Source organism: Homo sapiens, chromosome 7, assembly GCF_000001405.40.
Source record: "Homo sapiens chromosome 7, GRCh38.p14 Primary Assembly".
Taxonomy (NCBI): domain Eukaryota; kingdom Metazoa; phylum Chordata; class Mammalia; order Primates; family Hominidae; genus Homo; species Homo sapiens.
In genome coordinates, this window is record NC_000007.14 from 88,343,256 (window position 1) to 88,369,124 (window position 25,869).

The 25,869-nt window shown below is 36.7% G+C and overlaps 1 long non-coding RNA gene across 1 annotated transcript in view; it reads left to right on the forward strand.

The window, feature by feature from the left end:
• LOC107986815 (uncharacterized) overlaps window positions 1-23,515 on the forward strand; it is a 32,906-nt gene extending 9,391 nt beyond the window's left edge. The window contains exons 2-3 of the long non-coding RNA XR_001745260.2: window positions 20,315-20,422; window positions 21,658-23,515. This is a non-coding gene — a long non-coding RNA (uncharacterized LOC107986815). The remainder of the gene's footprint in view (window positions 1-20,314; window positions 20,423-21,657) is intronic.
• Window positions 23,516-25,869: the final 2,354 nt, after the last annotated feature.

Here is a 25,869-nt window from a genome sequence, read left to right on the forward strand (position 1 = left end):
TACATGTGGCAGGCAACTGTGCCTTCTCTCTTCTGTGCCGACCCCACCAAGTATTCATAATCATTCCTTTTTCTGTCTTGAGGCAGCAGTATATATATTTTCTACAGGAATATATTATAACTATTTGTAAGCATTTGCATTAAAAATCTTCCAGGACATTAAATATTCAACATTTATGACATATTTCTGTTCAAATATATCTAAGTGAATAAAATGTCACCAAATATAAACCTCAGTAGAAAGCCTGAACAATAGACAGATTCTGGAGAAGCCAAAAATAACTAGAGAATGGATTAGAAGAAGACTTTACAATGTTGGCCTATGTTGTTTAGGACCATTGAGCTCCTCCAAGAAGGGTCATGACCACTGGCATGCAGGTTTAACTCTTTATCTAGAACGAGGTTAGCTGCCTACGAACTTGGAGGTGGTGAATTTTTTTGAAACATGCTTAAGAATCTCCTACAAAATTATGTTATCAAGTCATGCTTACCTCTGCTTTGTCCATATCCTTCTTTTATTAACCTTCTCTATTATCTTCACCCTTGGGTATTCTTCAGGTTGAATAATTTCATCTGTCATAGCAGTAGGTCAAATTGTAAACTCAATTTTAAAATTATCCTCTTTCAATAACTCTCTTTTCTTTTCTTTTCTTTTCTTCTCTTGTTTCTTTTTTTTTTGATGGAGGCTTGCTCTGTTGCCCAGGCTGGAGGGCAGAGGTGCCATCTCGGCTCACTGCAACCTCCACCTTTTGGGGCTTGAGTGATTCTCCTGTCTCAGCCTCCTGAGTAGCTGGAATTACAGATGGGCATCACCATGCCCAGCTAATTCTTTGCCTTTTTATTTTTATTATTATTATTTTTTGAGATGGAGTCTCACTGTATCACCCAGGCTGGAGTGCAGTGGCTCGATCTCGGCTCACTGCAACCTCTGCCTCCCGGCTTCTAGCAATTCTCCTGCCTCAGCTTCCCGAGTAGCTGGGATTACAGGTACACACTGCCACAACCGGCTAATTTTTTGTATTTTTTTAGTAGAGACGGGGTTTCACCGTGTTGCCCAGGTTGGTCTTGAACTTCTGATTTCAGGCAATCCACCCGCCTTGGCATCAAAAAGTGCTGGGATTACAGGCGTGAGACACCATGCCTGGCCAATTCTTCGCATTTTTAATAGAGAGGGGGTTTCACCATATTGGCCAGGCTGGTGTGTAACTCCTGACCTCAAGTAATCCACCTGCCTTGGTCTCTCAAAATGCTGGGATTACATGCATGAGTCACTGCACCCGGCCTCAATGACTTTCAAACAGATTTTAAACGAGTTAAATAATTTCACTGGTTATCTCTAATGCAAAATATTCAGATGAATATTAACTTACTACTTGCCACGTTGGATAAATAAGTAGCTCTTCATTATTTTCAAACTAACATGAAATAGTGAAAAGAGAACGGGTATTTGAAGTTTTTGTTTTAAATGCCAGCTTCATCGGTTACCGCTTACAATTTACCATTTTATCATTTGTCCGAGCCTCAGTTTATTTCTCACATAATGATTTTAATAATTTTCAAATTGTTGTGAGATTAGAAATAATGTATGAATACATAAGATTATAGAAACACAGTAGAAACTCAATAAACGTTAGTTGTCTTATCATTATTATTACAATGAGCAATCAGATAACATGCCACTAGCAATTTTTCCTCTGATTTTTCTTTTATAAGGCAAAGGTTAGGAAATTAGATCTTGCTGTTTCACTTTCTTACTGGTATTTGAGAAATATTTATTTCTTATTGCTGTTTGAGAACATCAAGCAACTTATATGATGAATATTCAAATATTGGACAAATTCAAGGAGAGATGAATCACTGCTCTCATAATCTGGTGATTGATCGCTGTGTGTAGACAGTACGCAGGTATTCCTAAAATGCCAACAATAGAGGTCTTTAATGAGCTGTTTTTTCTCATGATTGCCATTCTCAAACTTATTACCATAAAAATGCCAACATCATATTTTATTTAATACAATTGGTCTTTGATAGCATTGTTTGAAGATTTATGAAGAAAGCAACTTTGTTTTTAAAGGAAGAGAAAAGAAGACTGAAAACCTCAGAACTGGTTAGTGGCTCAGGGATGCATTTCAGAGCTCAGCGCTGAACACTTCGCTTCAGAGCCGCGCCTCTAGATGGCGGAGGAACGCTGCGGGGAGGGGCGCAGACTTCCCAAGGATGCAGTTCAGACCTCTGGTGATTTAATAGCCCTCAGACGGAGTAGTCAGCGTTGCAATACCAATTAACTGAAGTTATTAATAATGCTCTCAACATAAATGCCTAACTCATATTTTTAATCCAGTGTGTACCCTTTAAAAAAACACATAACTGCTTAAATATAAGAGAGCACGTAGTAGTGTGTAATACAGCAAATCAATTTTTAAAAAGAAAAGCATTCTTGTGAGATTGGCCTTTCAGTGTTTTTGAAGCAATGATTTTATTTGGGGGTGGAGAGAGCGTTAGGGAGCAGCCTGAGAGCAGAGTGGTTGCAGTCCAGATGAGAGCTCAGAACGTTCTGGGTTTGAATCCCAGCTCTCTCGCTTACCGTGTGTCCTTGGGCAAGATGCATACACTCTCTGAGTTTAGGTTTGTATGGTCTGGAGATAACGACAGCGACAGCGCCTACTTCATTAAGTGGTTGTAAAGATTAGAAAATCAAGTTTAGGTAAAGCATTTGGCACAGAGCTCCTAAGTACCCCTAAATGGCGGGTTTTGAGCTTGATGAGGAACTAATACAAATTAGGTTGTCTTATTCAGGTGGAACAACATAGGTTGTGGGAATGTGAGACATCACTAGAATCCGGGGGAGTGAGCAGGCATCCTAAGAGCTTTTTATTTTCTCAAGACAAGGTCTCACTCTGTTGCACAGGCTTGGGGTGCAGTGGTTTGATCATAGCTTACTGCAGCCTCCAGTGATTCTCCTGCCTCAACTTCCCAAGTAGCTGAGACCACAGGTGGCACCACAATGCCTGGCTAATTTTTTAAAAAAATTCATTTTGTTTGTTTATTTATTTATTTATTTTAGAGACAATGTCTCCCTATGTTGACCACCCTGGTCTCAAACTCCTGGCCTCAAGTGATCCTCCTGCTTTAGCATCCCAAAGTGCTGGGATTACAGGAGTGAGCCACCGTGCCTGGCCTCCTAAGAGCTTTTTACACCTTGCTGTTTAAATGAGAGACTGTACCTGATTCTCTGTCTCTTTCTGACAAAATGCATGGGAGTGACGGGGCAGGAGGAGGAGATTACTAAGTTCTGACAGGCAGGAAGCTCAGAGGTGTCATTTATGCACACCCTTGTGGCACAGCTCCTCAGCAGATTCTAGTGCTTTTAAAAGCATAAACAATCTTGTCAATAGTTGATTTTCAAAGAGAAGATAAAAGATGTGTTTTTTTCTGATGCCTGGGACAGAGCCTTATGCTACCAGATTCTGGTTAAAATTGGTGACCTAAACATGTACCTACCAAAGGAATCATAGAGATGTCACAGAAAGTGATATTTTGAGTATTTTGTTTGTAACAAATTGAAAGGAAGTGTGTTTTAGTTATGTAAATGCAGGCCTCTTGGGAACAATATGACATGTTAAACCAGTATAATTGCAGTAAGCGTTGAGAAGTGAATTTTTTCTTTTTTGTAAATCCCACCATCCTCATCTTTTTATATTTTGGGCAAATTTTTTCATTCTCAATGAACTTTCACTCATAAACTAACTGGGAGACACATGGATAGTGATGTTAGAAGACAAATAAAGTAGAGCTTTACGTATTTTTCCTAGGTACTCACCTTTTTACCTGATAAAGAATAGAAAAAACGTATACACTTCTGATTCTTACCCAGAAAGGGCAGCAGATCTAAAAATCAATATATAACTTGGACCCTGTTCCCTGTGCCCGGGGGAGTGAAGAAACAAAAACCTGGGCTTTCTTCTCTGCTCAGTCTCCAGGTGACGTAGTTATAGGCACGTCTTGGGGTGGGTGTGGGACTTTCCAGATCAAGAGCCTCTCCTGGGCCGGCTGTACTTGGCGGAATGTCCTGTTGCTCTTTGCACTGTACAACAGTTGTGGATAGTAACTAGCTAGGACCAGTGGTGTGGGCGGTAAAGGAATTTACCAAGACAGTTGTAGGTAAAGAAAGGCAGATTTATTGGAGAAAGTACAAAAATACATTTTAAGGATACAGTCAGCAAGAGAGGAGCTGACTGCAAGGAGACAAAAGCAAGGGGATTTATAGGATGGTGCTGGTGCTGGAGAGGGCTATGTGCGGTACTGATAATGTTAAGGTTGCAGTGAGCTAACTTGCATTTTTCTATCAGCTGAGGGTCTGGTGGTAAGTTGGGCACAGGTAGATTTTGACTTATTTGTGCAGGAGGGCCAGGTGTCCTGAACCATGAAGAAAGGCAGATTTATAGCTTCTCTGCTTTTTCTGTTTGCTTCCCCTTGGTCCTGCCAGCCTGACTCCTTTTCTCTAATTAGCCACACTGCTGACTGGCTTCTGCCCTCCCCCTCTAGCCCTCTCCCCATCTTGGTGAAAGGATCAGTGCCTTGTGGACCTGAACTGGGGACCCCTTCCGGAGAACCAGAAGTTCTGACTCTTGCCCAGCTCAATGAGGCCTTCTCAGTGCACCTGGGCAAGTTACACATAATGGAAACTATATCTGTTTCCTTAGGTTTTGAAGACTTGAGATATTACATAGGTTTCAATAGATATTACTATAAATAGTGATTTAAATTCATTCATTGAAATTGCAGTTATTTTATGCCAATTTGGTGCCAGCTGCCCTGCTGGATACTACAGACATAAAACAAAGAAAGACATGGTTCCTGCTCTCAGGCATTAATGAGAGAGAGATGGGCCAAAAGAAAGAAGTTAATATACTGCCTGCGCACCTGGTATACGATTGGCCTACTGTTTTCCTGGAGCCATTCTCTTTGAGAGCTGTAGTGATTGGTGATAAATTAATTGTGCAGGTGGTGTTCTGGGTTAAGGGAAGAAAAAGGAAGAAATCTCAACCTCATAGTTTACGTCAAGATTATTTTAGCATTACATATAACAGAACAACCACTTCAGCAAAAAAAAGGGGGGGAGTTGGGTCTTGTATATTATAATGTACTTTATTAGTCAATTACTTTCAGGATGTTGGGGGCAATCTGCAGTATCCATGATAACTCAGAATGATTACTTTGTCTTTGTCAATTGCTATATCTCTGTCTGGAACACCCATCACTATAGTTACGATGTGCTTACCGAAATTTGAGACAAGACCCCAAGGAAGGAGACAGTATTTTCATTTCTCTATTTAACTAGAAGGAGGAAGAAGGAAATTGCTTAGGATTTAAGGATTTTAGATTGCCTGGTTTATTGTATAAATACCTGGTATGTATGATTATTGAAAAAGCTTTGGAATAGTTTGAATTTACAGCCTTGAAAACAGCAGATGTACAAATAGGTGTAATTGTCTTTTAATGCTGCTATTCCCAAAGCATCTTAAAATAAAGGTCAATATTGATAAAATGTTTGGAAGTGGGCTTTTAGGATAATGCCATTTTCAAATGTGAGGTTATTGGTTTTCCATCCACCTTCTCATAGGTAGTCAAAATTTTACTGTACACATTAACATTATTGCAATGTGTTATTCATGTTATTCTGAATGAAATATCAAACACTGACAAGACACAAGCTACTATCTAGAATATAAGGAGAAACAGAATCATTAGGTTACCATAGGTATACATGAATAAATGGGGAATATCTATTTTTGTTTGCAGAAATCCAGAAGTTGACTTTTGGATGTTGAAAGCAACACAAATGCATACACACACACACACACACACACACACACACACGTAGGAATACACGTTAGGAATACACACTTTATATGTATGTATGTGCATGTGTGTGTATTCATATGTGCCAAAATGTATTCATATGTGCCAAAATGTATTCATATGTGCCATAATGTATTTCTGCCTTGTTGACCTGAACTGGGGATCCCTTCCTGAGAACCAGAAGTTCTGACTCTTGCCCAGCTCAGTGAGGCCTTCTCAGTGCACCTGGGCAAGTTACACATAATGGAAACTATATCTATTTCTTAAAAGTTAAAAAAATTCTAAAATATGAAGAAATACACATTTACCTGAAGCATGAAGCAAACCTCCAGGAAAACCTTTCAAAACTTCATCTTCATCATAACACCCAGAAATTGTCAGGTCATTCATTATGTATAATTAATACATCCATTTTTTTCTTTCTTCCTCAAGTACAGACATTGCAAAGTGAGGCATGTGGTTTTGTAGTAAATAACACTGTTTTCAACAATTTGTTTCCATGTCTGGACAGATGTATCATTTAATTTGTCAATTCTGGAAATTTATTTATTTGGCTCAGTTTTTGTTCTCAGATGCAAACATACATACCTGCTACTATAAATATGGAATAAAAATCTTCATTTTTTTAAGAGTAAAAAAAATTGTTGATTATAAACCTTTCATTGCAATATGACAACACAATTTATCAAAACTATAACCATAGTTGAGTCAGGTGGGATAGTTTCATGAAATTAAACAAAAGTCTTCTAGTTGAAGAAAGGTAATGGGACTAATATAAGTGTTTAGTGTACTCAATTTTCTATTCGTGCAGAGTAAGTCAATGATTTACTTCTTCCGGAAAGATTTCAAATGGGAAACAAGTTTTAGCATTTAGTGTATTAGACTTTCATGCAGAGTATGTATTCAATCCATACACAGTTAAGTCAATTTTGGATTGTCTTCCCTGAGGAAAAGTAGCATTTGCATGGATAATCCACAGGTATTTTTTCTGGCATCTTAATGTGTGTTTAGAAGTTTGTTAAGTTTATTTGGTTATCAGTGACTTTAACAAAATGTGTGGGAATTCAAAACTTTATACATAGTAATCCGGTCATCCAACTGAAAACCAACTCAGCTATAATGTCTGTTAATTTCAGAAGGATCTCTCTCATTTTCAGAGAAAGATGTAAATTAAATTCAGTACCTTTTTTATCCTGTAGGATAAAACACATGTGTAGGCCATCTAGATGACAAGCATTAAGATACTTCCCAATTCATGCTGGAATTTGATAATGTAATTTCTTAGAGAAATACAAATTTCTAAATTTGTAAGGCAAACTCTACCGATTTCATCAGGTAGGAGTGGGTAATACAATATTTTGGTTTAAAATGATAAACAAAAGAACACAAATACAAATACAGCAGAAGAGTAGTGGGCAAATTATTCTGTTAATTTCTCTATTTAATCCTGGCAGTAAAAGTCTGAAAGTAAAAAAGATTGTCACATTGTTAATACTTTTTCCATGAATAATTAAAAGGTAGCTATATTATTTTTAAAGTTCTTCCCAGCCTTTAGGGCAAATGAGCAATAAAAGATAGTAGGTAACTGAAGCAATTATTTGAATTACTCTATCAAAAATTCCAACCAATTATATATCTATGTGTGCTATGAAATTGAGGCCAAGGCAGATATTTTAACTTAAATAGATAAATAATTCCTTTGGTTTGCTAATGTGATTAACATTTATCTGTATCTGAAAAACTCTACTTTTTTTCAGTAAGCTATATTCTCTGTTAATTTCAGAAGGAGTTCTTGTTTTTAGAGAAATATGTAAATTAAATTCAGTGACTTTTTAATCCTTAAGACACATCTGTAGGCCATCTAGGTGACAAGCATTAGTAACTACACTTTGACGAAAGATGGAATTGAATTTTATAAGCTCCTTGAAAATTATGACACATTGAGTTACTTGCTCTCGTGAATAGCCAGGCTCTCACATTACTGGGTTGAATGGATTCTTGTCTTGTCTGTTTGATAAGTAACTCCTTCACCTTGAAACCCTCCATGGTATCCCACGAACCACATTTTAGCAGAGAGTTCTTCATGTGGGAGGTGGGGAACTATTTGGCATTAAGGACTAAATTAAATTCTTCTGTACATTTCTGTTCCCTAGACCATGCATCATGGGCTTCTGCTCATATTCCCAGTGTTCTACTCAGACAGACACTTGCTGCTGAATGTTTAGTCAAGGATAAAGATAGAAATGCAAAAGTCTCACAATATATGTAGGATTTTTGTTGGTGTGCATTAGTTTTATAGCTCCAGGCAACATAACAACCGAGATAATACACAATTGCTCAAAGGAAGACATTTTTGAAAAATAGTCTTTGTCTCTACCCCTGAATAGTCCTGTCTAGTGCTATGATTCCTGATTAGGAGGCTCTCTCTCATCCTTTCCACATGGCCATGTTTGATTTTTCTCTAAGTGGGAGAATCTCAGTTGTGTTCCCGTTGGAAGTCTGGAGTCTGGGTGTATTTATAAGACTCAGGGTTTCTGGCAGGAGTAAAAGAATGCATACAGTCTTGTTTTCTTCTTTTGAATCATTCCCTTTGGAGGTGCTGTTTAGAAATGGCTCATTATTAATTTCTGCAGTGAAACGTGAGCTCCTGGTCTGTGGCATTCATTAGGGCCGCTTGCCCTTCACTCACAAAGAACCCTAGTTTGGCAATGATTTGAACTCTTCTTTTTCCTTTTCATTTTAAATGTACATATCTCTAAATGTACAAGTGTCTGCTTCCACATTTTCACAACTTCTGAATGGAGGTCATAGAGGATACATGACTGGCATGTCTCTGTGACCCCAATTTATTCCTCATGGTCTGTTCTATAGTCATACTTTACTGATGAAAAAGAAAGCAATGCTGTTACTTGATAGCTTGCTGAATTTAGGAATCTCAGATATATGGATGAACTAAGGTCCTAAGGAAAAGTTGCATAAACTGGAGTCATAAAAAGGGTATACTGCTGAGACTGCGTTTGAAAATGTGTGGCTTAGAATAAGGGGGCTGATTTTGCCATGGTAGTAAAATTGCAGTAGGTCAGCTCCTGCAGCCTTGATTGCTGCTTAGAACTTCGGAATCTAGATGTTATGAAAATGCAGGAGCTATCCATCACATGTGCATTTAAAAGACATACACGTTAAAAGGAAAAAAGGTTCAGATCATTACTGAATATCTACTTGTACAAAATGCAACACTCTCTTATTTATTTATATTTTAAATTGGGCTTTCTGTAACATTGGCAAGCAGGAAATTGAAAGCCATGAAAATTCCATAATTTAATATAAAACTTTTTTAATTGCCAAGAATAGGAACAATTTTTTATCGAAACAAGACAGAAATATTACATTATATAATACCATAACTCATACAGTAAAACAATTTCAACTTAAGAAATTAGTTTTGCATAAGCCTGGCTACTAGTATCAGCTACCAGGGGACTGATGGGTTTCATTATTTTTACCACAGTGGGATATCTGTACATGAGGTCCTGAGAGAGTAGGTAAAATAGTGGAAATCTCAACAAATTTCTCTGAGAGATTTGAGGACTGCAAAATTCAATGCTGACCTCAATGGAATGCTCAGAGAGATTAGCAACAACATTATGGGGAACAGACACAATTCCTTCCACACCAAAGTCTAATGATGGAAAAAATCAGAAACCTTTCCTGCTAAAAAATACATAATGAAGTAAGTAAATAAACCAGTGAAATGTTCTCTTGGAAAATGCTTGCTTTTTAAAATATATTGTGTCCTTAGGAGAGGGGAATTACTCAGCAAAGAAACTGGGTTCTTGACTGGACTCTGCCTGTTTTTTTCACTGTTTCTCTTACAGAAGGCTTTTAATTTGTTGCTGTTTTTTAAATAATACTATCTAATGGTGTTACTATGGTAACCATGTCTTGGAAACCAATTATCAGTGCTGCCCAAATAGTACTCAGAAATTGGAGTGTAGAACAGTAATACAAATAGAGAGAAACTGCCCCATCCTCACCTAGGGAACCTCCAAACAGCTAGATGAAGAATGGAGACATGGAAAAGTTGGAAAGATGGAGGACATAACCTTGGGTGGAGACAAGAGCCAAAGGGATTGAAAAAACAAGGTGTCCACTGAAGGTTCTTTGCCTCAAAGTAATAATGGAATTTTTCAAGTTAAATTGGAAGGAATTGGAAAATCTATGCTTGCTGTGGTGGCATGGGCAATTTAGAAAGCAATTCTAGTAGATCACCTATAGAATGGACTAGATTGGAAGTAGGGGTTGGCGGATGAGAGAGAATGACAAAACCACAGTATGCACAGACTCAATTTTAAGGCCACATTCTAATGATGTGTGTGTATGTGTATGTGTGTATGTGTATGTGTGTGTGTGTATGTGTGCACATGCACATGCATTTGTGTGTAGAGTGGTGCTTCTTTAGTTGAGTATAAACTGGGTTTCACAGTCTGGTTTTGTTTGACAGTGGGTTAGTGTACCCTTTCCTCCCAAGCATATATTTGTGTGTGTGTGTGTGTGTGTGTGTGGGGTTCAGGAGTGATTTAATTAAAAATTTAAGCATATTTAATTTTTTAGTGCAGAGACTCTTGACAGCAGGCTGTAAGGCACATGGTTGTTATTTCTTAAGTAGAGTTCTATAGTAGAATGGATGATCTGTTTATTCTACCTCCAATGTAGCTATTGAATCCATTTTCTTCTGTTTCCACTGGCACTGCTATTTAGTTTTGGTCCTTATCGCCTTTCTCCTTGTGGCAATTGTTTTCAACATTTTCTCTCTAGAATCCATCCTTCTATCACTTGTTGGCAAAGTGATCATTCTATAATGCTGGAGTGATCATTTCAGTGACTTAACAATCTTTTAATGGCTTTTGACCACTTTTAGGAACTAATCCTCACTTTGCCCTTCATGATAAGTCCCTGCCTACTTCTGGTCTTATAATGAACTCTTCGCCATTAATAAATCTCCTTCTAGTTCCCAAATCCACCTGATTTCATGCCTTTCCTTCTCAGTAGTCCTAGAATCCTGCCTGTTCATCTTCTCCCCACCTCCACTGTCTCTCCAACTAGCAAGCAAGAGGAGAACAGTTAAGAAAGGAAAACACTTAGCTGGCTGGCTTATAACTCTGAGTATTTGACATTTATTGAAATGGCAACCTTCAGAAATTCTTTTCTGACTCAATTTCCAGCTCATTTTATACAAAAAAGCATTTTGCTCTTTCTCAATTTTGTTAGGAAAATCAGTTGCCTTTTTCAAGAAATAACAATATTATTTGCATAAAGCAATGTAAAATGTTAGTATTTCTTTTTGAGAAAAATAAATGTATGAGTTTGCAGTATTTAAAAATAATCTGATCAAACCAGGAAACTCAGGTTGAGGTATGGCAGAAGCACTGCCCTTCTGTGGTTCTAGCAGAGGCATCCACAGTGAGTTAGTTGCAGGGAATATACCTGTGGGGGAATGACCAAGTTATCCTAGGGTTATTGGAGAAAATTCACACCATAAGAGCAGGTACTCTGGATAATATCTGGGTATCCCTTCTGTATGAAATTAGAAGGAATTTATAATGTTTTAATATAAAACTAAATGGAATCACTGACCATTTTATTGGTGGGAGGTCAATGCTGTTGTTTCAAAAAGTAGAAAGCAGAGAGTTAGTCTGTAGAAACTGGACATTGAAAGTGGGGAGCACCTGTCTTAAGGTAGCTCTCAACCTAAGAAAAACTTTGGGTAAGTCCCCTTACTTTCAAAATATTCTTCAGTCTAAAGCAGAGGTTCTCAAAATTGAGGATGCATCAGAATCACCTGGAGGACTTGGTGTAGCACATTGCTGGGCTCATCCCCAGAGTTTCTGAATTAGCAGGATGGGATGGGGCCTGAAAATGTGTACTTTAACAAGTTCTTAGGTGGTGCTGATGCTGGCAGTCTGGGGCAAGACTTTAAGAACCACTGGGCTAAAGAATATGTAATGCCTACATCGTATTTTATGAATTAAGCGGGTAATTATAAACATGACAATGCCCTTTGAGTTGGAAAGTCACTTCTGTAATATGTAGGTAGGAAATGGTTACAAAACAATAGTAAAAAGGGAACTAACATTTTTTGTTAGTTACAGGAAAATTACTCAATACCTTTTCTTTAAAAAGAAAAACAATACTCAGAAGGATAAAGGCAAGAGAGAATCCTGTCAAAAATTTCAAAAAGACTTAGGTTTAAGCAGCACATGTGAGGTGGTTTAAAAATACGAACACATACACATACACCACTTTTTAATCTAATGTATTGCTTCTTCTTAATTGGCTGATAAATCACCAATAATACAATTAGACAATATTAGAATTATAGTAGACATTATTGTGTGATTTTCAAAACAGCTGATAATTACAACAATAGTAATAGAAAGTAAAGATTTTTTTTCTGGTTGGGGGAAATAAAAAAAAAACTATCATGGGAATTAAATTATCAAACAAATTCTTTTTGTGCCTCCCAGTTGTTCATCATGCCATAACAGTTGAACAGAATCAAGCCCATTTTCTTTTGAAGTTCACTTTTTGATTAATGAGGCAAGTGATAATAGAATAAATTGACATTAGTATTTTTTAAAGCAATTGTCAGTGAATATCCTGAGATGTGTACACATTCAACTCAATCTTGTGCTATTCTGACACTTCCATTTGCAATATTGTAAAATTATCTTAAATTTCCATGCTATGATCCTTTGTCCCCATATCATGGGGACATCCATCATCCATTCCCACATGGTATATTAGTCACCATTCTCCAGAACCTTCACACACACACACATACACACACACACCACATATAAAGACATTTATTATAGGGTATTGCCTCTTGTGAATTATGGAGGTCAAGTAGTTCCAGATCTGCTGTCTACAAACTGGAGACCCAAGAAAGCCTGTGATGTAATTCAAAGACCTGAGAGCCAGAGAACCAATGGTGTAGATATTATCCCCAGTCTCAAGGTTTGAGAACCAAGAGTGTTGAAGGCAGGAGAAGATTGATGTCCCAGCTCAAAAGCTAGGCAGAGAGAGCAAATCCAACATTTCTCCTCTTTTTTGTTCTACTCAACACCTGGATGGATGGGATGAAGCCCTCCCACGTTAGGGAGGGTCATCTGCTTTACTTAGTCCACCTATCCAAATGCGAATCTTTCTGAAACACCTTCACAGATACATCCAGAGATAATATTTAATCAGATATCTGGCATCCTGTGGCCCAGTCAAGTTGACACATATGTGTAAAATTAACCATCACACACGGACATTTAAGTATTACTTACAAAAACACGAACATGTACAGATACATGTTGCAAATATTTTCACCTATAGAAATGAGATGCTAAGGCTTTCCTAGATAATTGTCAATTATCTAGAATATGGAATTAATCAGAGTACCCCACTCCCTGTGATTTTGCTGTCTGAAAGGTGCATCACATAAGAAGATAAAATTGTTAGTCCCTAATGTCTTTGGGTCTTTTTAAAAATTTGATAATAGATTATGTTGAGGGACCCAAAGCAGCTATGTCCACAGGGCAAAGTGACATGTGGATCAAAGCCATTCTAACCAACTGAGATAATTATATACATCATAAATTCTGAAAAGAGGCATCATCCTTATAGGAAGTGAGTTAAAAATCAAAAGTCACTTCATTATTCCCTTTAGAAACATTTAGAATTTCTATATAATATGGTCATGTAAAAATCAAACCAACAGTACCTCAAAAAAAGAACAGCAATAAAAAGAACATATTCAGGAGTATTGAAATCCTTTTTATCATACTTATATAATGTATAAGACTTATATGATTAATCATTATCACCATAGCTAGTGTGTGATTTAGATCATTTAGGATATTAGAAATAATTCTCATGAGGAGATTTCACTTCAGCTCCTTGCAAACACACACGTACAACATATAGATGCTGAATGAAAGTATTCATTTCAGATGAGAGCATATTAGCTTGTTAGCCTGGAAATTCTGTCGAAACTCCTGACTAATCAAAAATATGTATTTGAACAATTTGCTGTTGTGAATTCAGCCTTTTGGAACCTTCTACCTCTCTTCAATTATAGTGTCAGAGTGTTCTGTTGCTTAATTCCCACAATAATTAAATAATTTATAAATAATGCATACCTCATCTCCTCCCAAGAAAGAATTTAAGGAGGAGGCTGCATTTAACTAGGAAACTACCATAAATATATAATGAGGTGGATTTCAGTACTCTCTCCTCGGTGACTGGAAGGTCACTCCTCCTTGCCAGGGAAACAGAGAAACACACTCTCTGCCAGCCTGTGGACAAAGTGAACAGGACAGGACAACACTGCCTCCTTCTGCTGGGATTGGCTCATGTTGGGGGTGGAAGGCTGATGGGTTAGTCCTTAGGAACATGAACCAGTTCAAATTTTGCCTCTTCCACACACTAGCTTTGTGATCTAGGAAAAGGCACCTGGTCTCTCTGTATTCATTTTCAGTTATTTTATTTCAGAAATAATTACTAAATTAATTATTTTAGTAATAATTATAGTTATCTCATGCAGTTGTTGAGAGGATTAAATGAGTTTTAAAAAATAGAATGTGAGAAAAATGCCTGGTGGTTAGTAAGTACTACTTGAGTGCCAACTAGTTAGACATAGCTTTCTATTCAATTAAGACGACAGTTCTTCAAAGATGCCACACTTAAACCAGTCCCAGTGCTGTGGTATCATAGGCACCTGCACTTTTCTTTATGACACATCTTCATTTGCAATTGATATTTAAGGCTCTGAATCTGTTTCTCCCATGAGGCTGTAAGCTCCAGGAAGGCTGGAATCTTGTCTGTCTGGCTTAACACTCTTATCTCTGGTATATACACAGTGCCCAACATGAAGCAGTTATTCAATAACTAGCTGTTGAATGAATGAATCCAGAAAGACATGCCTATAAACATGCTAATCGAGATGGGATTTCTAGTAATTATTTTGTTAGTTTTGCAAATTTTTATTATCTAAGTTTTGGTACTTACTGTGTTTTCTTTGTGCAATAATGAAAGTAAAGTCCTGTTATATCACCTCTATGTACTATTGTAAATCACTTCAGTAAGGCAGCAATAGAGCTGTCAGATGAAATTCATATTTTATTTTTTGTGGACCTCTGGAATAGGTTAGTAGTTTTCAATTGGGGGTAATTTTGTGATACGTCCTCCCTCCCCACTAGACGTTTGTCAATGTTTGGAGATATTTTTGATTGTCACAATTGCAGAAGTGCTACTGACATCTAGTGTACAGAGGGCAGGGATGCACAGGACAGTCCCTTACCACAGTGAAAACCATCAAGTCTGAAATGTTAATAGTGCAAAGGTTAAGAAACCCTGGCACAGATGGATAGAGCCTAGTAAAAAAAAAAAAAAAAGTTTGTATAACTTCCAAAATTGGTTGAGATGTTAAATAATATGACATCAGAATTTTAAAAGTTAATGAATAACTAAAAGTTAATAATTAAAAGAATTTATTGTAAATTTTTTGGTGGTTTGTATTTGCTTCATGGTGTAATTTGCTGATAGTTTTAGTATTTAATGTAGCATATTCACCAATATTATCTATGTCAGTAGAGAACTTTATAGTCTGCTACGTGTTTTTCTCTTTACAACCAGTGAAAGCGGTTTTAAAAGAAAAGCACCAATTGACTGTTTACATACTGCTGAATAACCACTTTGGCAGATTTATTTTTTTAAAGAACAGTTCATGAATAAATTTAGCCAAAGCTGTTAGGCAGAGAGTACAAATAACCATATTGCCTATAGAATGTTGCTTGTAGCTCTGGACTAATAAAGCACAAATAAGATAGGGATATCTAATGTTTATGTAGCTTGGTCTATTTGAGTTTAACACCTGGGATGGTGTTAGCCAGGATAGGTTAGGTTCTGCTGCAGTAACAACAACTCAGTGGCTTTAACGTAGCGAAAGTTTATTTCTTCTTCAGAGTAACTCTCCCATACAACTGCCTCTGTGTGACAACTCAGCAATCCAGCTGGGGAAGGTGGCATTATCCTGGAACTGCACTTTTTGGAACAGATAGCCTTATTAGTCAGTGTGGTGGGGAAAAGAGAACATGGTAAATTGCATGTTAACTCTAATGCTTTCACATGGAATTGACACAGGTGACTTCCAGTAACATTCTATTCACCTCACAAATAACACACCATGGCCAGATTCAGGGACCCAGGGAAGTTTAATCTACCCAGGTTGCATAGGAGAAACAAATATTTCTGAGCCTGAGTAATAGCTATCATAGCTAGCTTTAGTATTTGTTTACCTTTATATATGGTTGTTCAGTACGGTTATTAAGGAAGTATATTTGCTGAATGCACAGATACTATTTCTCATGCCAAATTAACCTAATTTCATTATGCTTATTTGGGTTCTCTATATCTCACTTAATGAATTTGTAAGGTGCTTCTAAATATTTAGGCTTCTAAATGAAAGTCTTTGCCAGATGCTATGGTCCCTGATTTCTCAAATAGGCTAACATATTCCACAGTACTGAATGCTAAAGGAAAAGATGGTGGTCTTTTCATTTTACATAATGGTAAGTAATCAAACATTATTTTTGTGGTAAATCAAAAATTGAGATACCTCAGAATGAAAATAAAGATGAATTTTTAAGATTAAAAAAAGAGACCTCCATGAAATTTTGTGCTGTGGCAGGCTGCTTTTTGCTATGCTCCAGGGGAAAGTATTTACTTTCCTCTGCTACCAAGACTACTTTACTGGACAGAAGCACTGCTTGTGTATCTAAGTTTTTATTCATCTTTGATATGGTTATTTTCTTGTCTTCATTTTGTTTTTTAATATAGCTCTTCTTCTGGGACCCATTATTATATACATCATAAAAACGGGGGATTTTTGCAAACAAGAATTCACAATTCTATTCTGTATCCTACTAACAGCTTGATAAGAGAAACTAAATAATACAATTGATCATTGCGTTCATTATTCTAGACCACTACATGGAATTGCGAGAAGATGGAGAACTATACCCACTCTTTCCTATTTTACCATGTGATTTGTCCACTTCTGGTTTATATTACCTATAGCTATCTGAGTCTGTATTTACACATTTATTCATTTTTCATCCATCAAACAACTTTTGAGCATCCACCCTATGGCATTATGCTAGGTACTGGGGATTAGGACAAAATGAATAAGACAGTGTCTCCCCTCAAAGACCTCACTTCTAGTAGGTGACGGCTACAGGGGTTATGAAATGTCTCATTCATTTCACTTATATTTATTGAGCACTGATATGTGACAGACACTGAGGAATACTATAGTGAATGAGAGGCAGTAGAGTGTAGTGTTTGAGAGAAGTGTCTCAGCAGTCAGACTGGAATCAAATTGCATTGTAAGGCCTCATGGAGGCTCTTCAGCTACCTTGTGCCTCAGTTTCCTTATGTGTAAAACTTGAATATTGTAGTTGCAATATTGTGATATAAGAAATTTAAATTTGGTCTTTGTCCCCATTTCCTGGCACAGAGTTCATTAAACCCTTGTAATTTCCTAAGAGATAGGAGTGTTAAGAGCATCTTTTGTTCTAATATTTGGTCTTTGACCCCAGTTCCTGATTCAGAATTCCTAAATCCTGTGGAATTTTCTGGGTGATAGAAGTGTCTTTTGTTCTAGTGAGGTGACTCTTGGTGGGTTCCTAGATAGCTTCAGGGTTGGGGTTGGTCACCAGAAAGACCAAGCTATGATTAGAAGCTGGGAACTTTCAGCCCCACTTTCACATTCTCCAGAAAGGAGATGGGGGCTGGAGATTGAGTTAATGATAGATTGTGCCTATGTGTTCAAGCCTCCATAACAAACCCTTAAAGACAAGGTTTGGAGAGCCTCTGGGTTAATTAACACATTCATGTGCTGGGAGGTGGATGCACCCCAACTCCATGGGGACAGAAACCCCTGCAGTAGTAATTCATCCTATGTAACTATTCATGTGGCTGGTTGTACCCTTTATCATATCCTTTATTATATAATAAATGTTGCAGGGCTTTTCCTTAGTTCAGCTAAAGATGGGGGTCGTTATCACACAGCCACGAAAATTTAGGCTCACAGATGATTCGAAGAGTGAGAAAAATGGGATTTATTGGGCAAAAAGGGGAAACAGACTCTTAGCGAAGTGAGAGTGTGCTTCCTGCCTGTGGGCTTCCCGCCTCGCAGGTTGAATCCCAGATTCCACACAGGAAGAGGAGGGGCCGGGCTCCTCCCCTATGAAAAGGGCACTAACTTCCGTGGTTCCAGCCTAGTGTGCAGGCCAGCTGCAGTTTTTCCAGGAAGCCCTTCCCACCTGTCTGTCTCACAAGTAAGCATAAACAAGTGTTTCTCTGAATTCTGTGAGTCCTAACAAATGATGAAACCTGAGGAGGGTGGTCATGGTAACCACTGATTTATAGCCAGTTGGTCAGAAGTGCTAGAGGCCTGAACTTGCATTTGGTATCCGAAGTGGGAGGCAGTCTTGTGGAACTGAGCCTTTAATGTGGGATTTGATGCTAACTCCAAGTAGATAGTGTCAGTACTGAATTGAATTGCAGGACACCCAGCTGACGTTTGGGTAGTTAGAGAATTGCTTGGTGTGGAAAAAAACCCCACATATTTGGTGTCAGAAGTATTGTGAGAGTACAGAGGAAAAAAAATTATTTTTCTTGTACAGTAGTTTATCAGAAAACCGGTTACAAATATTACTTTAAAAAACAGTGAGAAAAATACAGCTCTATCATTTTCTGGTTTTTATGTAACACTTTTTTTTTTTCTCAAATCATGGAAAAAAGCCATTGCAAATCACATTCTTCAAGGGACTTAACCAGGTAAGACGTTTGATCCAAGGGCAAGACAACCCCAATCAGAAGTTTCGTTTTGCAGAAGCCGCTTCCATTTTACCAGGCTCTGAAATTCTAAAACATCTCCTGTCTTCCCCTATTACCAGGGCCTTGTGCTTGCTTTAAGAGTGGGCATTCATCAGGGGTACAGGTAATTGTCAACAACCTAAGGGGCTACCTTGGCACCAGAGCGGCAAGTGCCTGCTACTTAAGAATTTTATATTGCCTTCATGAAAGAGCTTCACCAGTGTGATTTAACTTTGCAAAGGAATAGATATAGAAAGAACTCAGTGGAGACCCATTCTTTGGTAATATTTGCATTTTATAGGAAGCGTACATATAAATTTCCCATTCTATAGTAGTATGGCTTTAATCTTAATGAATGCCATTTTGGTGGTACTCTTCAGAGAGTAGAATTAACATTCACATGTGAACTGGAAATGTTAAAGTGTTACTAGTCTCCTGAAGGTTTTGCTTCTGGCTATGCAGTTTCAGAGATTTCATCATAGTTTAGGTATAGCAAAATACCACCATTTCTGCATACTAGAATGAAACTCTCCAAGGTTTCTTTATACTTTAGGCTAAGGCTTGATTTTTTTAAAACAGAAAAGAAGGTTTTCCTAGACCCTGAATATAACCTGATGTCAAAAATCAATTGAAAAACCAGTAAAAATTTGTCATGAGTTCTGTGAGAAAGCTTTTTTTCATAACAGCTTTCTGGTTATTACTAACAAATTTCTTAATTAAGTTGCCTAAACTATTAATATAGTTTCGTGGAATTTTAGAAATTTTATTTATTTATATAATGTTTACACTTTCCCTGATCCTACAAAGAATTTGAGGTGAGAAGCCCCATTTTATGCTAGTTTTCCACTACTCTTTTTTTTTTAAGACTAAACATGAGAATTTAGATTCAACAGCCATGCAAAGTAACCAGAGGTTTGAAAATACTGTTTGATTGCTTACCTCTGCTGCCTGTCTTTTCTTTCAAATGTGAACCCCTTTTTTTCTCATTTATTCTCCAGGCCTTGTTCATTTTACCTTACATAAAGATTCTTGGTTATTAGATAAAAATGAGGGAAAATATCACAGATTTTGGTTATATAGTAATCAGTACAAAGGGTGTGAAACTTTTAAGTGTAGCTTCACTTACACATGCATACATGTGCACAAACAAAAACATCCACATCAGACTTTAACATTAAAATTCATTTCATATAATCTGGGTTTTCATTTCGCTTATTTTTCTACTTACATCCAAATTATAACATTCCAAATCCAAAGGCAATGTTCTGTTATAACAAAGACAGCCAAAACAAAGAATATTTATGTAGGGCATTATTTGACCACGCTTTTATCATGGTCAAAAACCTTAGGAGGTTTTTAAGTCCTTCCAAGGACTGTGCACGGTAGATACTGTCATTGTCATGCAAATGATGAGGTTGTTCCCGGACCAAACTGAGGGTCGGGCTGCTATTTCTTGTGGCCCAATAACGATATGCAGATGAACTGGGGAGGAAGAGAGTTTTTATTTCTGTAACTTGTTACAGGGAGAAGGCCTGGAAGTTATACCAGATCAACTCAAAATTACAGTTTTTCAGAGCTTATATACCTTCTAAGCTATACGTCTACGTGTAGTTGTGCGTTCATCTAAAGACGTAAGTGATTAACTTCTTTTAATCTAAAACTAAGGTCTGATTTCTGAAGACCTTCCTCTGGAGGCTCAGTAAATTTATTTAATCTAAATGGGTTGAGGTGCTGGGGTGATTACCCTTATCTTGTCTCTTGCTAAATCACGGAGGTTTGAGGAGTTCCTTCAGACCCCCAATAAACCTGTTTGTGGAAGCCTGGGGAGTTTCTTCAGACTCACAGTAAAACTTGTTTCATCCTAAATGGGTCCTGTTAAGAATTCTTTTGTTATTTTGTCATGATATAAGGCCCGGGAAAGGCCTAGGCAAAACTCTTGACAGGCTTTTGTTATATCTCAGCCTTTGTATAAGGTCACTGGCTTTTAATATTTAACTTAAGCACTCAGTCAGTACTGAAACAGTTGTTAGTGAGACCTGGCCTGCCACAAGGTAACTGAAGGTCTGAGATGTTAAGGGACTCGGCCAATGACATACAGCTTTTAAGTAGTAAAGCTGGGATTTGATTTGGTCATATCTAGCTCTGAAGGTGCCACTCCACAGTGCTATCCTGAACTAGCTGCCTCATGTCACCTAAAATGCAGAATCCCAAGCCCCAGTACTATGGGATCCAAATTGAATCTGCATTTTAAGGAGCTCCCCAGGTGACTTATATGCACATTAAAGTTTAAGACTGCAAGTATGGTTCTTAAAAAATAGTTTCAGGCAGTTAAATACAAGGTACTGAAAAAATTCCATTTGAGATGCTTTTTGGTCTCTGGGCCTTTATGATTTTTACTTAATTACAAGCTAGACTGTATTTCATTATCCTTCAGCTGTTCTGCTTTCACATCGGCTTTGAGCTAGTCTAACAAGAGTCATGTCGGATGCTGTCTTCTGTGACATTTCTTAGTGATCTGTTTTGGTGGTATTATTGTCAGTTTAAATAGCCTTGTGGTTATAAAACAAGAAAAATTGATTCTGTCCTAACTGTTTGATCTCTCCGTGTATCTGAGTAATCTTCTTGTCACATTTTCCTCCAAATTTACCTTTGCTTGCTTAATTCTTAAAAAAATTTTTTGACTTTCTCCTTGTCTACCCTTTCAAAACATTAGAAGTGACTTCCAGTGATAAAGCTCACTTAAAACAGACAAGATAAAAAGAAAAATTATAGAAACAAGTTTAAGAAGGTGAAACATACTTACATCATGCATATGAAATGAATTAGTTGCTGCAGTTGAAAACCGAATTTAATTTTCATCTTCTAGGCTGTGAAGTCAAAAGGAAAATGTAAGAGGCTGCCGAGTTCTCAGAGTGGGATGAATAGAATCATTCATGTTCATCTGGAGAGAAACAAGTTTTCCTGTGACTGAATATTAAGAGAAGTATATTAGAAGTCTCTTTTTCTAAAAGTTCATAAGGTAGCATAACACATAATATAGTGCTTTTTTGCAAAGAAAATGAAAAGTGTTACAAAAATATACCTTTCTCATGCCAGTCTTCCATAAATGCTAAGGTCATAACTGAATTTAGATTTTATGTAATGGTTTTGGGGGGAATGAAAATAATTTGATGGAGTATATTATTTTTTGATGCTCAGAAACAAAATACAGTGAAAAGAGTTTGAGAGTCTTGTCTATATGTGTAATTTAATATTTTGCTTAGACTGAGCCTCCCTCTTGCATTAGATATACTTGAAGTGGGCTTTTTTGGCTAGTGCTAGATCTCCGTAAGTTTGAATTTTCAGATGAGTGTTAAAGTAATAAAATGTTCTGCCATTGGTTCAAAGAGGCTTAGAATATTAGGGATGTTGGCAGGAATGTTGACATCCCACTGTGAAAAGCATTTTTCTCTTCTTAGTGGAACTCTCACTGTTGCAAACCTCTTCTGATTAGATAATGGAGGAGACCAGATTTTGAGAGCACATGACTTAGTCTTAAGCCCTCTAAAAAACAACGTAAATCTCAAGTATCTTTCCTAGCATTGCTAACGATGATTAAAGATTATAGCTACAAGGTCATTAGGCATTAAACGATTTTGAGGCCCAGTGTTGTTTGTTTCTTTCCCAGACAGTGGAATAATTACTGATTAAAGCATGGAGTCTCAACTCTCAATGTGTTTGCAGATGGTCAGGGAATAAAACTCTGAACTATTATTTCAGCAGAAATAATGTTTTATATATATTCATTATGAATAAGAACAAAGCCTTAAAAATTTGGTTGATCTTTTGCCCCAAAATCACTTGGCAATGCTTGCTAAAAAACAGAAAATAATTCATGTAAATACTAAAATCTCTATTTTAAACAAAACTTCCAGGTGACTTATATACAGGAGTCTTTGTGGACACTTTGAGAAATAATGGATGAGAATGGTAACCTTATATTTAATGGATCGACTGGTCATTTTGATTGTGTGGACACCCAGTTAAAGTGTAATGACTAAGGTCATCTCTAAAGACTGATTTTAATGATCTCCTTACAATTTTACTTGAAGGGAGTTATTCATGTTATTCTCCAGGCATGAAATGTAATGATCTGTTTTATTATTGTTAATTTATGCTCAAGCTTCCTTTTGCTCTTCTTTTTAACCAACATAACAATTATACAGTCTAACTATTTGCCTCAGGGAGATGCTGTAATAGGACTAATTAAATATTTAATATTTTAAAGGACTTAAACAACCTTGTAAGTAATATGTTAAGAGGAGATAAAATCATGATGATCTCCTTAGTAGGAGGAATGTTAATGAAGCACTGGGGTCAGGCATTCCTTTAATGCCCATGTCTTGTATCTGCCAGAGGCTGAATGGTTTAATGGTTAAATACAAGACTGTTGTAACCTATGGCTGTTCTTCTACTTCCTAGTTGGAAAGCCTAGAACAAATTTTTTAACCTTCCTATGCCAATCTCATATTTCTCACCTTTAGAGTGAGGAGATAAGAATACCACCTACCTTTTTGGATTGTTGTGATGACATATGAGGTATGTGTCTATCGAAAGAAAGTGGTTTTTATTAATATGAATTAATACCATAACTATTGGTATTACAATATCAGTTCAATACAAGTATTGAATTCAAAACTTATAGATTCTTATTTTAAAACTAGCAATAAAATGGATATGTACTTTTAGATCTAATCTCAAATTTAGAAAGAAGGAAGAGAAAAGGGAGGAAGAAAAGGAGTAGGAGAAAATATCTCTAAAATCAACCCCAAACAGGGGCTAAAGATAAAGAGAAAGCGATCATTGTGCAGAAGATGAAGACTCATTGTAGGTATGTATAGTCAATGTAAAACTGACCTCAGTGATCTAGAAAAATAATAGAATCATCAAATGTCAGAGCACACAGATTATAAGGAAAATGCCTTTTTTTAGGTCAAAGGCTAGTGAATAAATCTGAATCAGCAGAAAGTTTTCATTATGACTTTTTAGAAAATGATATCTTGTTTTTTCAAAGCTCATACAGAAAAAGAACTAGACTAACAAAAATTTCAAAAAAGTTGTTCTTTTGAAATGAGGTCAGGATTAATTGAATATGCATTTTAAATACATTAACTGTCACATCTAAATATTTTTGAAAACTTGTTTTTCCTGTTTACTAGATGGCTTTGAAGGTTTTCCCTTTACAACTAAAGATATTTTCTAAACTGCTTTCTAATTGAGTCTAAATGTAAAATTCATCCAGATGATTTTTCTTGATTTTATGAATTCCAAATCTGGCGGGGGTTGCAAATAATGAGATTTTGTTGTACATTCCAAGTTCACCAGCCTTATAATGAACTTCATATTCTACGGGCAAAGGGGCAAGAGGAGCAGTGTTCCCAATTCCATTCATTCAACAAATATTTATGATTGTGATTGTGTACTAGGCCATTCATAAGAAGGAATGAACTTACATTTTCTTAGCTGTGCATTTTGTTGTCATTTTAATGCCCCATCAGCAAGTGTTCTTCATTAATTCTTAAGCATTTATTAACTATATCTTGGTGTTATAAGAAGTTATTAAAAATCAGGATGAGGTTACACTTTCCTTTCTTCTAGGACAGGTACAGCTGACCTTCAATATTCATGGATTCAATTTTGATAATTTTCCTACTTGCTAAAATTTATTTGTAACTCCCCTCCTCCAATCAATACTTGTGGTACTTTTGTAGTCATTCATAGACATGTACAGAATGGTGAAAATTTTGGTTGGCCCATTCACATGTTCCCAGCTGAGGCTTAAGCAAGTGATGTTCTGCCTTCTTGATTCAGCTTTCCTACTATAAACGTGTGTTTTCACTTGGTGTATTTAGTGTCATGTTTTTTGTGGTTTTTCTTTTGCTTTTCTTTGGTGATTTGGAATGATCCCCAAGCATAGACAACTGGAGTGCCGCCTAGTGTTCCTAAGTGCAAGAAGGCTGTGATGTGTCTTACGGAAGAAATATGTGTTAGATAAGCCTTGTTCAGACATGTTGGCCATGATTTCTATGTTAATAAGTCAACAATATGTATTTTAAAAGGTGTCCTTATACTGAAACACACATAAAACAACGTTATGTTTTGATTGGTTGACAAAAATGTTGTGACTAGAGGCTTGCAGGAATTGAACCATCAATTTCTCCTAAGAGTAATGGTTCAGCATTTGTGAATTCAGTGTTTGTAGTGACTTTATAGAACATAATTATCATGAATAACAAGAATCAATTGTATTTGAAATTTGGGGAGATTTTAATAAATACTTATTCACTAAATTGTCCCTTTTAATGTAAACCAAGATGCATGATTTTTTTCTGACCTGTAAGCAACTAGTAAGTAAGTACAGAGGGGTGGAAAAATGAAAATTATATATAGGGCTAAACCATAATTTTTGTTTTTTTCTTTCCAAACTTAAAAAAATAAAACCTCCTGCTAAAAAACAATGTAATAAACCTGGAGGGGTTTGAAGTCTAGAAACAATTTGCAATGTGATGGAATCTTGTTTGTTAGTAGTGATTTGTCTGTCCTGTTTGCTACCTATGCCTAGCATAGTTTCTAACTTATATGGAGTTCTCAAGGTATTTTAAAAAATAAAAGTAAATTGCATTGAATCAGTCATAAGTTGACATTGAAATAGCCTTGAGAGTGAAAAGATTTAGCAATAAAAATAAAAGTTGGAGAAGTATAACGAATATTTTCCAGTTGGAGACTAGAGGTTGGAGACGAGAGGTCAGTCTACCTCACAGGTAGCTGGGAGAATCACCTCTGTCACTGGGCCTGGGCAATGACAACATCCGTATCTGCCAGCTGTACAGTGCTTGGGTTTACCATTAACTCTCTGTGTCACCTGGGTCAGATCATTCTGCTTCTTTGGGTCTTGGCTTCTAATTATTTCCTTGATAACCACCATTATTATAAGGCAACAGAGAAAGCCATTTACGTTAGTCACCAGAGAAACAGAACCAATAGGATACATGTATATATGATATATATATACACACATATATATATCTCATATGTATAT